The sequence below is a fragment of the Homo sapiens genome, chromosome 5, assembly GCF_000001405.40.
Source record: "Homo sapiens chromosome 5, GRCh38.p14 Primary Assembly".
NCBI lineage: Eukaryota > Metazoa > Chordata > Mammalia > Primates > Hominidae > Homo > Homo sapiens.
This window is the reverse complement of record NC_000005.10, coordinates 11,523,333-11,537,948: the sequence shown is the minus strand read 5'-3', so window position 1 is coordinate 11,537,948 and position 14,616 is coordinate 11,523,333. Positions and strand designations below refer to the sequence as shown.

Here is a 14,616-nt window from a genome sequence, read left to right as displayed (position 1 = left end):
AAGAGAATCTTAAGTATGATTAGTGAGCACAAAAGCAGCACTTATGAGTCCATTCTCCATAATATGATTTTCCAGGAGAACATAATGAAAAAAATTTATAAAGTAGTTTGTGAATAGGTATTTTATTCAGTTTGCTTTTCTTGTATTTTTATATGTGATGCTAAGATACGTTTATCATAATCCTTTCTACTAAAGCTGGTACTATACTTTAAATATATATGCTGCTTTCTTCATACTCTTGGGAAGAGTCCCTGCTTCTGAATTCTACCATACAAAAGTGCCAACTCCCCAACCTAAGTGTGAATGTCTTTCTTATTTTATCATTGAATTCCTTTTCCATGTAAAAGCAGGGTAGAAAGGAAATAAAAATTTTAAGGTAACTATTTACACTATGCCTGTAGGATATTAGTGCCCAACACAAAAGAATCCTACAATACCTGAGAAGAGATGGATTTTCAAAACTATGAGTTGAACGATGTATATAAATTCTATTCAACCCCATATTTTTTTCAAATAAGATGTTTAACACTAATTTCTCAGTTGTATAAGGAGTTATATAACAAAAAGGATAAGTTCAACATTATTTTTCAGATATATGATTTATCAATCAGAGAAAGGATTTTGTTTCAGAATGCCCAAATATTATAAAGATTATGAACCAACATTGAAGACGCTTGGGTCATCTTTAAGTGGTGCTTTATAGCTGTGAGCCAGCCTTTCCCAAATTTGTCAAATTAATTAATACCTAAAACAAAACTGAAAATCCACTAGGAATTCGTATCTATAAAAAGAGTCAATAGTATCTTCTGCTTGTATCCCAGTGGTTTGTAAAATTGGGAGTGTAGCAGAATGATTGGAGGGGTTACTAGAGACTAATTGCTGCCTCCTTCCCCCCACCTGCTGCCTCCAATTTCTGATTCACTTGGTCTCGGATGGGACACAAGAACTTGTATTCTAAATCCCCAGGCAGATACCAATACTGCAGATCTGGAAATCACACTTTGAGAATGACTGCTCTAACATATTAAATGCATTTTATTTATTTATTAAAACTTTTTTGAATTATTTTTTATTTCAATAGGTTTCTAGGGAGCAGATGATGTTTGGTTACATAAATAAGTTCTTTAGTGGTGATTTCTGAGATTTTGGTGCGCCCATAACCCGAACAGTGCGCACTGTACCCAATGTATAGTCTTTTATCCCTCACCCCCCTCCCACCCTTTCTTCTGAGTCCCCAAAGTCCAATGTATTATTCTTATGCCTTTGAATCCTCATAGCTTAACTCCAACTTGCAAGTGAGAACATACAATGTTTGGTTTTCCATTCCTGAGTTACTTCACTTAGAATAATAATCTCCAATACCATCCAGGTTGCTACGAATACCATTATCTTGTTCCTTTTTATGGCTGAGTAGTATTTCATGGTAAATATATACCACATTTTCTTTATCCACTTGTTGACTGGTGGGCATTTGGGCTGGTTTCATATTTTTGCAGTTGCAAACTGTGCTGCTATAAACATGTGTGTGCAAGTATCTTTTTCGTACAATAACTTCTTTTCCTCTGGGTAGATACCTTAGGAACTTGGCCAGGTGCAGTGGCTCACACCTGTAATCCCAGCAATTTGGGAGGCCTAGGTAGGAGGATTGCTTGAGGCCAGGGATTCCAGACCAGCCTGGGTAACATAGGGAGACCCTATCTCTACCAAAAAATAAAAAAATCAGCTGAATGTGGTGGCCGAGCTTATAGTCCTAGATACGTGGGAGACTGAAGTGGGAGGATTGTTTGAGCCCACTAGTTCAAAGCTGCAGTGGGCTATGATAGTGACACTGCACTTCAGCCTGGGTGACAGAGTGAGAATTTGTCACTAAAAAATCAAAAATGGAAAATAAAAATAAAATAAAAGAGCTAACATTTATTAAGCCCTTACTAAATGCTCTTCCAAACACTTTACATAGAGAATGACACTAAATTCTATAACAAGCCTGTGAGGTTGGCCTTGGTTTTAGCCATGTTTTACAGATGAGGAAAGTTCTGGTTTTAGACCCTTTTTTATAGTTGGAAAAATGGAAAGTCAAGCATTCAAGACACTTTTCTAAGTCACCTGATTAGTTGTAAGTAGCAGATCTGGAATTTAAACTTAGTAATGTAGGTTCAGACCTCATGCTTGTAACACCGGGGGGAATAAAGATCTTTGTAAGTTAACCCTTTTATGTATTTACGAATTGTATAATTTTCCCACTGTGCATTTTTTATATTTTACCAATTCCACTTTTCTGAGCTATGTCAAGCATAAAATACCATAGTTTTAATAATATTCTGTGTGATTGCAGATGGAGTCATGCATTTAGTTTTGCTTCAATCTATAAATACTCAAGGAATAAATAAGGAAAAAGTTACCACTTATAAGATTACACTTACAAAAAAAGTTCTTGTTATAATGGAGAGTAAAGAAAACAAGGCCAGAAATTTCATAGTTATCATGATACTACCTATAGGAAAAAATTATATACGGAAGCAAACAAACTTGAAAAGTAAATATCCCATACTGCTAACATCCACAAGAGAGAGTGATATATAATATTTTGGGGTATCTTGAAGCACATTTTACACCATATTGCAGGCTGTTTCTTTGACAAGAACTGGAGGCAGTATATTTGTGTAGAGTGAGAAAGTGAATCATTTTATTAGAATTCCTTTTGCATTTTAAATCAGTACAGATAAGTGAATGTTCCATAAGAAGTCTTTTTTTTTTTTTTTTTAAGACAGAGTATTGCTCAGTTGCCCAGGCTGGAGTGCAGTGGCGTGATCTCAGTTCACTGCAACCTCTGCCTCCTGGGTTCAAGCCATTCTCCTGCCTCAACCTCCCAAGTAGGTGGGATTACAGGCATCCGCCACCATGCCTGGCTAATTTGATGTATTTTTAGTAGAGAACGTGTTTCGTCATGTTGGCCAGGCTGGTCTTGAACTCCTGACCTCAGGTGATCCACCTGCCTCAGCCTCCCAAAGTGCTGGGACAGGTGTCAGCCACAGCTCCCGGCCAAGAAATCTTTTTTTGAAGTGTTTAATCCTTGTCCAAGTTCACTTCAGAACAAAAGTTAGAGCAGAGAGAATGGATTGTCAGCAAAGTCTTCGAGGAAAAACTAACTTACATATTTCTTAGAATATTTAGCTCACAGACAGCTCTCAGACTTCATTTTATTTGGATGACAACCTTCTAAAGAGGAAGGCATCACTCCTGTTTTCAATCATGAAACCAGGAATTCAGGCTTTAAATAGATGTCACCAGGTCTCAGCGCATAGAATCACCCTCAGGATTTCTTTTCTTTCTTTTTTTTTCCCCTGCAATGGAGTTTCACTCTTCTTGTTCAAGCTGGAGTGCAATGGGGCAATCCTAGCTCACTGCAGCCTCCACCTCCCGGGTTCAAGCGATTCTCCTGCCTCAGCCTCCCAAGTAGCTAGGATTACAGGCACATGCCACCATGCACAGCTAATTTTTTGTACTTTTTGGTAGGAATGTTAGCCAGGCTGGTCTCGAACTCCTGACCTCAGGTGATCTGTCTGCCTTGGCCTCCCAAAGTGCTGGGATTACAGGTGTGAGCCACTGTCACCTGGCGCACCCTCAGGATTTCTGTCCCCTGCTCTTATGGGCTACACTGTTCCCTAGATTTTCCTCCAAGAATATGAGATTTTAGTGCCTACAACAAGCTGATGTAACTGTGGGAGTCAGCAGTTACTTACAACAAACTTGGGGTTTTCAATTTTTCTGCAGGGTGTTTCTACCCATCAAATTAAGAAAAGTGAAAATGGCTTACAAAATATAAATGATCTAAACACGGTAGGAGGCTGTTTTTATATTCCTACCATTTAAGAATAAAAGGATGGATGTTAATTTTTTTATTGGTGAGGGGAAGTACAAACTCTTTGCATGAGGTGGTCCTGTAAAATTCACTGCTATACAGAAGCCTGCATGTTGTGAATGCATCCATTCTTACAGGCAGTGTGAATGCAGAATGCTCTCCAGAATAATGTGTGAGCTTCCCCACCCTCTACAGTCCAGATCACTAAGCCCTGGCATCTCAAAGTGAGGTTCTAGGCCTAGGAACATTGACATCAGAATCTTGTTAGACATGCGGAATCTCAGGTCCATCCCAGAACTCCTGAGTCAGAATCTTCGTGTTGGCCAGACCCTGAAGCCACATAAATACACATCAGGTTTTGAGAAAAGCTGCTCTGAGTGGTCCATTGATTGTAAAAATTGGTGCTTCCATGAAGCCAGAGATGAAGTTTCCTTAAGTGAGAATGCTGATGTCCAGAGCAGAGTCTTTTGCCAGGGACAGGAAGCTTCATGGGCTACCATGGAAAGGAAGAGTTGTGCTGGGTGTTGGGCTTAGCTAGGGCTGTGCTACCCCACGTCTGCTGGCTCACACTGGACCTCTGTGCCATGGCCAAGGCTATGGGGTCCTTGCTGCCTGAGGTCCAGTGACTTTGGCTCATTCTTCACAATGAAGCCAGCCCGGGGAACATTTTCTTCTGGGGCATCTGTGAGCTCTAAATCCCACCCTAGGTGGAAGGAGCCATGAGATGATGTCCCCTTAGCACTTCAAGGACACTCCTGAGTATAATTTACATTAAAGGGCTGTTGAAGCCTATTAACTGATGACACAGAAAAATAAGCACAGGCTATCATGTTGTTTCCTAGAAAATATGCTTTACATATTTGCATTGGAAGTCTTGCGTTTGACAGAAGAATTAACAGAAATTCAATATTTTTGAAAAGATGGCTGACCTTTTATGCATATGAATGTGAGCTCCTCTTGACTCCTCTTAGCCCAGAGTGAGAGTCTTTGTGAACTTGCATTTCCACCTTTCCTCTTCTCCGCCCCCTGGGCTGCCACTTCATGGGAACACTAGTGGCTGGTGTTCAAGTTTCCACTAATTGCTTTATTATCTCATAAAGAGGCATTAATTGCTAACATAATTTCACATTCTCCTCTGAATTGCATACTTCTTTTATGCAAAGTGACTACTTCAAACTCTTTCCCACCTCCCTCCTTCTTTTTCTCCTGTCATTGGAGAAACAACAAGTAACCCTTTTCTGGGGGCCATAGGAAGTCACTTGCTGTAACATCTGATCCAGATCCTTGATCATGTAAAAATTTATTCAGTGAAATATTGATTAAAGTCTATTTCCTGACTAGCAAATGTCCTTTTTCTTTAAGGCCCTTCTTGATTTTGTTTTGCGATATTGAACCTATAGAAATAATTTGAAATGATAGAACAAACTATTTTTTCCACAGTTTTCTTACTTTCTGTTAATTTCACCACTCTTAGTTGGTGAGTTGCCCGATTTATTCATAAATTTTCAGCCCCTGGCAAGGTGGATGACCTACAGTAGGTGCTCAATAGCTCAATAAACAGTTGCTTTATAGTTCAAAGGTCTTTAATGGCCTTTTGGTTATTGAGAGAGTATTTTAAAATTTTGGAATTGAAGTTGGCTTGAAGAATGTTCTCTCAAAAATGTTGGAAATTAAATATCTTATGTTTCCAATAAACATTATTCAGGTTCCCTGGGAAACCGACTAAGATACGGAGAATAGTTTATTGGGGATGTTCTTGAGGCCAATACTGGAGGAGGGGTGGGGGTGGGTTTGGAGAAAAAGGAGGGAGAAGAGGGAGAGGGGCAAGGGATGGGAAGGGAAAGAGCCTGCAAGCCTGGCAGAGGGAGAAGTTGGGCTGTGGTGTAGTCACAACCAAGACTACAGTGGCCCTGTAGGGAGGCTCTGGAGGTGGGAGAGCCCTTCAGGATTGTTTGGAGGTGGTGCAAAGGGGCTGCACCTTTCTATGTCCACAGCCAGGCAGTTATAGATGTGAGCCATTCCTGGAGGGGAGCATAATGTCTGGCTCTTCCTGAAGGGGTTGACAGCTGAGTGTTGTCCAGAGGCAGCTGCACACCCAGCAGCTGGGGGAACAGTTTGGGAGGCACGTGGCAATGTGCACTGCGGTTAGTGTGTCTTGAAATAATGTGACCAGACTTTATTTGGTGGATAAGCCAAATAAAATATAAAAAGTGCTGTTATGTGGTATTAATTGTAATGTTTGGTGAAGATAGCAGAATGTAAATGTCTATGTGCAGCATATCACTTGTAAAGTATTCATAGAAAGGAAGGCTGAAAAAGCATATATCAAAATGCTCTTTGAGTGTTTTTATTTCATCCTTTATTCTTTCCTGAGCTGTCTCATTTTAGTAATTAATATTTACTACCTTATGATAACAATCCGCCATGGCAGTGGCTCTCCCTGTCTTTTTGTTTTGTTTTGTTTTTGACAGAGTCTTACTCTGTCCTCCAGGCTGGAGTACAGTGGCATGATCTCAGCTCACTGTAATCTCTGCCTCCCGGGTTCAAGTGATTATTCTGCCTCAGCCTCCTGGGTAGCTGGGACTACAGGTGCCTGCCACCATGCACGGGTAATTTTTGTATTTTTAGTAGAGATGGGGTTTTACCATGTTGGCCAGGCTGGCCTCGAACTCCTGATCTCAGGATATCTACCCTCCTCGGCCTCCCAAATTGCTGGGATTATAGGCCTGAGCCACCGTGCCCAGCCCTCCCTGTCTTTTTTAGCTCACTGTGTGGGGGGCCGTGTTTCCCTCCCATCCCTGACTCCCTCTTTCCTCACCTGTGTAGGGTCCTTTATTTAGTTCCTTGCTGCTGGCTTTTGTTCCTGTATTTGACATATTTTCATGGTACTATTCCCATGTTCCTTGGCCAGGTGTCCTTTTCTGGAGACACTTGTACCCACCATCCTTGCCTGACCACACCTTTTGTAAATTCAGAATGATCAGTTCTAACAAGGTATCAACATTTTCCATTACTTCATCTCTTGCCAGTAGAGTAAACCTCTAATGACAGTTATGTCTGCAGGATGTTATTTTCGTTGCTTGCAGGAGACAAAGCCGTGTGTTGTATTGTCTGCAGAGCAATTGACTTTAAAGATACTACAGTGTAAACAGAGTGCTGCTTTTTGTGTGCGTTTGTAAGTTCACATTATTTTTTACTGTAGGCTTGGATAATCAGCAGTTAAAAAACCCCAGTCAAGAGTTCATAATCTAAGTATGATCCCTGGGCCCTTCAAAAATTGGTACCAAAATCCACACCATCATGTTTGCTAAGTACAAAAGGGAAGCTAGAAACACGTAGTTGTAGACGAAATGAGTGGCATTAAGATATATATGTGATCAGAAATATTGTTAAGGCTCTGCCCCTCTTATGTGACTGGGATGTCAGATTCCAGAAAATAACACATTCTAGTATTTTGAGTGCAGTGCTGAGGCCTGGAGGTCTGAAGCCCTGTGGATGCCACAACACCCCAATTCCAAAGGACTTGGTGTCCTGAACTGACTTGAAGACTGGCTGTGCCTGTCCCCAAAACACTGCTGCATCCACCTTGGAGTGAGCCTCTTCTACCTCCTGGAAATTAACTACGGAGATGTCCCAGGGCTGGAAAGCAGGGAGGGGGACTTCCCCAAATCACACACACAGGCCATGAGACCTTTTGCATTTGCTGGGTAACGAATACTTGATCATGAGGCCAAATTGGATCTATAAGTCCATTCTTTGAAGCTGCGTGATGGTTATCGAGGCAGGATTATTCAACTCCTACCCATTTCTAACCATCTGACATTATTGCTATTTACTAAAGGGAGCTTTTGGTTGGTACACTCATTATGTATCGAGATATTATGAGTCATCCTGGAATCCTCATCATATCTTTGCTTCCCCAGTAGAGTTGTGCCAACTATTTTGATAATGAAAACTTTGAGGTGAGCACTTATGGAGTTAAAATCAAAGGAACTATTGCAGTCAAGGAGAATCTAGGATGCCAATTCCATTGGAACATTTTTGGTTTCGGAAACTAAGCTTACTGCAAGGTACAATATTGCCTGAAGCTCAGAAAAAGTACAGCTTTAAAAAGCAATCTTATAGCATATAATATGTAATTTTCAAGATAAATTACTTTTTCTAAATAATATAGGAATTATGGGGTTATCAGTACAAAAGGATTTTGATAATTCTGTTTTAGATACCCAAGTGTGTATTGTTCTGAGTAATTTTAAAGACAATAAACCAAGGCAAGATCTCTCAAATCCATGATTTTAGATTGTTTGAAAATACCATTAATCTCTTTACAGCCCTTTTTTATGAAAATGTTTCTAAATCTAGTTGAAATTTTGCCTGGAATAAAGCTTAAACTATCTGCATAATCTTGGGTTAGCTCTGGAGACCCCATTCATATTCATAGTTATGCTAAAGATGTAGTAAATCCACTGCATGCTTTGTATTTAGGAAACTACAAAACCAGTTTCCAAACTAAGCTTTATTTGATTATCTTCCCATGAGGATATTGCTTTTTATTGAATCATTTTTTTTCCCGTGAGTTTTTCTTGAGTGCCAAGGCAGAGTTAAAAATAGATCAAAGATGGCTCAAATTATGTAGAACCACAGTGTGTATTTCTTGTTTATGAACTATGGAAGAATTTTGTTTCCTTTTCTGAATATCTGCAAATAAAATGTACTTCATTGGAAGACGCTTTGGTTTTATAAAGCATTTGAATTTTTTAACTGAAATTAAATAATCCATTTAGTAGCATTCCTAAACACAATATCTCTGTTTTTGCTGTTGTTGTTGTTTTGTTTTGTTTTTTGCCAGTTTTTTGCACAGCTAATAGAGCATTATGCTAAGTAGGAGGCAGACAGTGCTACCTTTTGATCAAGACTTCATTTCAGTTTCCTTTTGGTCAGTGGCAAGCAACCCTTATTTCCTAGATCTTCACAGCCAATGACGGAAAAATATGGCCTTGTGTCCCTGTTTTCCGCATTGCTATTTCCTGCCGGCACCAGTCTGTCCTGGTTAGCACACTGTGATCCTGGGGTTCCCTTCCCACATATTTTCATCACTCCATACCTGTCAACGCCGGCCTCTGTGAGAAGATCAGAAACTCAAGTGTGTCTCTTGAAGCCGACAACATGAATTGCCCAGCCAGACAGCTCTGCTCCATCCCAGCAGCCTCTGGGGCCACCTGGCCACTGATGAAAAGGGGAAGTCTAAAGTGCCTGCTGAGGTCAGGGCAGGTGCCTGCCCCACTGGAAGGCCTTCTTCTGTCAGAGCTAGGTCGCTGCTCACTTCCTTTGTGGCCCCTGGTTCAGACTCCAGGGTGTAAGGTGTGCATCTCAGAAAGGCCAGCACGGCCAACTCCCCAAGGCCATATACTCTGTGGTGCAGGCTTACATTGGGTTGGGCAGGGCTTGGCACCAGTGTGAAGCTGGACATTGGAGGAAGAGTTCCCTGAGGACCTGACACCAGCCCCAGACTCTGCACCTCCCTTTTGGTATTTTCCAAGGGATGTTGTTTCCCACTCTGTTCAAGGCTGTCCCAGTCCCTCTGATATATTTCAATTACTTTGACTTTTGATAACTCCATGACATGGAGGACGAACTCTTGAATATTTCTAATAAGAAATTTCATTTTTTTTTTATGTGAACTACTGGGAATAAGAACTCTTCATTTCATGGGTTGCTGTGTTTTACTTGTTGACACAAAGTGAGTATACAAATGAAAACCCAGAAAGCCATTACTTAAGAGCACAGCTTCAAGTCTGTGAAAATTATCTCAACTCCAAAAGCTTCTGTGCCTGTGACCTGTGCGGCTTGTCTCCAAGTTACAGTGATGCCTCCTTGATGGATGATCTTGTCATTTGACACCAAGTACAACTGCAGTAGTAACAATATGTTCATTCTTTCTGAACCCTGTATGAGATTCCCAGGCTTGGGGACCCATTGTGAAAATGACATTGATTGATAAGTCCCCCGCGAGCTTTTAAATGTGGCTCTCTTTATATGAGTGCTCATACTGCATGGGTTTTTTAAATTGACTCTATTAATATTGTTATGTTATTATGATATTATTCTAGTTTATTTACTTTTCCAAAGAAATCTGTTTAAATCTGTTTGGAAAAACACCCTTAATGCAGCGCCGTACCCAAGTCATAAACCATTGCCATTATGTTGACTACACCCTGGGGTAACTGTTAGGAAGACATTTATTACACAATGTTTATTGCACGCCTGTGTGTCCACTGTTCTCTGTTAAGTGCCCAGGGAAACATAAAGCATAAGATCACCCTTTCTCGTTAAGAGTATACAGTAAAATTTAGAAGACAGGTTTATATGAAATATTAAATATAATGACACAGCAGCTTAGAGGAGTGTCATGCTATGACCAAGCTCTTGGTGAGAAACTATCACTAGAGGAACAACTGATAAAAAGTCTCAGAGATGCCTTGGAACTGCCATTGACTCCACCTTTGCTTCTATCTAAGGGGAGCTTTAGAGCTTGGAGATAAAGGGAAGGGGCTGAGATGGAGCAAAGGTGGGGAGACCTCGAGCCTGAGTTCTGCCTAGAGGTGGATGGGTGGGAAGGGTACAGGGGGTGGGATTCCAGGGCAGGCTCCCAGAAGGCCTTGTGCGGGATGCAGTGGAGACTTGAAAGAGGTACTGTGGGGCACAGTGTATCTTTGCATGAGTAGGGAAGGACGAGGCTTCTGGCGCCAGCCTGCCTGAGTTCTAAGCCACACTCTGCCATTTGTAGGCCTGACAATTTGGAGAACTGTATTCTACTTCTTTGCATCTTAGTTTTTTCTTTTTTTTTATTGTGGTAAAAAAATACATAACATTTACCATTTTAATAATTTTTAAGTATAAAATTCAGTGTTATTAAGTATATTTACAATAGTGTGCAACCATCACTCTATCCATTTCCAGAATTTTTTCATCTTCCAAAACTGAAAGTATAAATTGTAACTCCCCATCTGCTCTCCCCCAACCCCACCTTCTTTTTCTTTTGTCTCTATGAATTTGCCTACTCTAGGTACATTATGTAAGCAGATTCATACAGTATTTGTCCTTCTGTGTCTGGCTTACTTCACTTAGCATGTCATTAAGATTCATCTATATTGAGCATGTATCAGAATTTTATTTTCTTTTTCACTTTAAATAATATTCCACAGTATGGACAGACCATATTTTCTTCTTCCATTCCTCTGTTGATGGACACGTGGGTCCTTCCACTTCGGGCTGCAGTGAAAACTGGTGTACAGGTGTCAGTGTGAGTCCCTGTTTCAGTTCTCCTGGGTGTGTACCTAGGAGTGGAATGGCTGGATCAAGTGGTAATTTTGGTTTTAATTTTGCACCCTAGTTTTCTTATGTATAAAGTGGGGGTGCTGATAGTTCCTAAAACACAGGGGTATTCTGAGGATTAAGTGTTAATACATAACAAAATGCTTAGACATGTTTAGAAGAGGGCTGGCGTGTGGCAAACTCTAGCAAGTGGTGGCTGGCGTGATTCTACCGAAGGCACCAGCTGCCCCTGTCCTCAGCCAGCTGGGCCAGCACCTGGAAGTGAGGCCTGAGGATCAGCACTGCCTAAAACAAGGCAGCATACACAGCAGGTGCACACTTAACGTCATCGATAGGTTCCGGAAACTGCGACTTGAAGCAAAACAACATATGACAGAACCAATTTCACCATAGGCGAGTTGGTATAAACAAGAGTTAAGTTTGTATGGCGGCTTCTGGTCACAAAAACATCACCAAACTTCTGAATGAAGACCAAAACGCTTCTAATATTCAACAAGAAATGAATGTGTGTTATCCATACATTTAGGAAAGTTTAATAAAAACAAGTAAGATAGACCGGGCATGGTGGCTCATGTCTGTAATCCCAGCACTTTGGGAAGCTGAGGCGAGTAGATCACTTAGGGCCAGGAGTTCAAGACCAACCTGGCCAACATGGTGAAACCCTGTCTACCAAAAATACAAAAATTAGCCATGTGTGGTGGCACACACGTGCAATTCCAGCTACATAGGAGGCTGAGGCAGGAGAATCCTTGAACCTGGGAGACGGAGGTTGTAGTGAGCCAAGATAGTGCCACTATACTCCAGCCTGGGTGACAGAGCGAGACTCTGCCTCAAAACGAACAAACAAAAAAACAAGTAAGATAGTGATTTACCTTCTTATTTCTGTTCAAGGACTTGGGTGGCCCAGAGCCTATCCCAGCAGCTCAGGGTACCAGGTGGCCACCAAGCCCTGAACAGGGCACCATCCCATCGCTGCACCTTTCACACACACCCACACACACTCACACTGGGACTGTGTAGGCGTGCCAGTTAACCTCATGTGCACATTTTTGGGATTCTGCAGACCTGGGGAGAATGGGAAGACACACAGACAGTGGCCCTGGGCAGGGATGGATGCTATTTGAGAACTGCTGAACTTACTTGTGGTGTTGGACAATGAACGCTTTTTAACTGTGTGTGGTTCACAGTACTGCTGTTCTTGTCCTAGCTTTTGATATTTCTGTGGTCTCATAGGTAGGTGATGGAATGTTATGTATCCTTATTTACAAAGGCTGAGATCTGAATCAAAATGTTTAAATTTAACCTCTTCCTAAATTCTTTGAGGACATGAAATATGATTATGTGTTTTTTTTTTAATTTGAAAATGTTACTCATGGTACAAAAAGACAATGTATCAGTTTGTGCAGCCAGGAAGTTGAACTCTGAAATATCACATGTTTTGACAAGAGCCTCCTGGGGAAGGGACTACACAAAGAGGCGGTTTCCTGTTAAAAATTCAGCACATTGTGCTCTAAGTGCTGTGAGTTGGGCTAAGGATGAAAAATCTCCTTTGATATGTAACTCAAGCATGGATGTTTGGCTGCAGCTAAAAAGCCCTAGAGCTCTCCATAGTGAGTGTGTCATAAGGAAGGTAGGAATGCAGATGTGTTGCTGGCTGCCACTGGGGAAAGGTTATCTTACAATAAACACAAAAATGACTTTCGGCTTCTTCAGACAGCCTGCTTTTCTAAATTAGTAAAAGTTAGTTAAATATTCGATTTAAATTCCTTGTCAAATCTATCATACAAAGAATTTTGAGAATTGTGAGTAAGCTATGGATCAATGAACATAGCATATTTTTATATGCTATGTTTGAGTCAAGTAAAAGGACAACATTGTAGTCTTTTTTTTTAAGGTTTGCTTCCTTTGCATGATGAGAAACAAAATAAGTTTTGCAAAACGAAGTGATGATGCGTATACAGTTGAATGTACGTTACAAGCTCTAGTGTATATTATCACCAGTAAACGTTGGAACTGCATTAATTTTGTTTTGACAATCATTTTGTTAAAGTGTGTAGGTACTTTGTTAAAACAAGGAGAGATGGGCTCTTTTAGACAGGAACTCCTGGAGGGGAACAGACAGAAGCTTATCTCCTTCCTTAGGCCTCTAGCATCCGTCTTCAAATTGCCTAAAATTCTTTTGAGCAGGGCTTTGTTGGGGGAAAGAAACTGTGTTAATGCAGGGTTCCCTGTGTCACCAGGAGCGTCCTCACTCAGCCTCCATTAACCCAGGGAGGACTGGAGAGTCTCTTCACTGGTCCTTCTAGACACAAAAGAACAATAAAAATCCACTGTTTGCTGATGCTTGAAATTCCATTAGCCAAAGAACAAAAGCATTTCATTCTGCAACTTACAACAAAAGTACTTTCAGATTTCATGCCTTAGTGTGTGATTGTGTTTGAGTCAGGGCGTCATAAGTCAGGGAAACAATTCAAATGACTGTTTTGTTAGGAGGTGAAAGGGCACACGCTGTCTTGAGTGTCTGCAAAGGCTGAAGAGTCCTGTGGAGGGGACGTGGGAAGGTGGAGGTCACAGGTGGGGCAAGTGTGGGGTGCAGTGAGGGGATCACAGATTCCAGCCCCAGGCTTTAGGGCTTCACAGCCCACCTCCTGCCCACCCTCTTACCCTTATCTGAGATAGTTCCAAAAGGAGCCAGCCCTAGAAGGCCTTTTTTCCTTAACAAGCATTTCTGCCCATGATGATTTATGAGGATCACTTTTTAAACATGGTTGAGTTTGTATAACCAGGGGATTAATTAGCTGAGGAATCACTGTGACAGCAACACAGATAGAGCACCAGAACTGAAGGCCATAGATGGAGAGAATGAGACGTGCAGACCCCCTGCACCCGCTTCACAGCAACATGGGCTCATTGTTGTAAGCCCTGGCCAGGGCAGAGTGGTCAAGGGCACCAGTGAGTAGGACTGGCTGAGAAGGGGGCAGAGTTTCGATAAGGGAAGAGGAGGCAATCCAACCAGAAAAAAGAGAGCCATAAGAGCAGGTGCAGGAAGTCCCCGGTGCATTAGTTCTTTTCAGACCTCAGTGAAGGGACCTGTCTTTCTTGTTATGTTCTACTTGGAGATGAACTGAGATTGTCACTGTAGTAAATTCATCAAAAGTTCTTCTCTGAAGAAACGTGGACTCCAGCCTCTAGTACTCTGTACTGAACCACTAAACCTGTGCACATCTGAGAAATGCCCCTTTGTAGGTTTGTGATTATTCCAGTGTAGAGTCATAAAATACAAAGATGTCATTGGAGGCTTCTGAGTGCAGGAATTTAGGATCATTCATTGTTGAGAGACTCGATGGTTACGCAAGTGTGCCTCGATATACATGATACCATAACCTTATGTTACATTTGTGTTTTTGTGTTAAAAATATGAA

At 41.3% G+C, this 14,616-nt stretch overlaps 1 protein-coding gene across 11 annotated transcripts in view, besides 1 other annotated feature; it reads left to right on the top strand.

The window, feature by feature from the left end:
- The window catches only part of CTNND2 (catenin delta 2), a 932,611-nt gene that overhangs the window by 366,498 nt on the left and 551,497 nt on the right, over positions 1-14,616 (top strand). The window lies entirely within an intron of this gene.
- Positions 8,599-9,120: an enhancer, noted in NCBI's record as "H3K27ac-H3K4me1 hESC enhancer chr5:11528941-11529462 (GRCh37/hg19 assembly coordinates)". NCBI's record gives its function as "activates a minimal SCP1, AML or CMV promoter by ChIP-STARR-seq in naive H9 embryonic stem cells {active_cell/tissue: H9 hESC(naive)}" and the evidence as "EXISTENCE:reporter gene assay evidence [ECO:0000049][PMID:30033119]".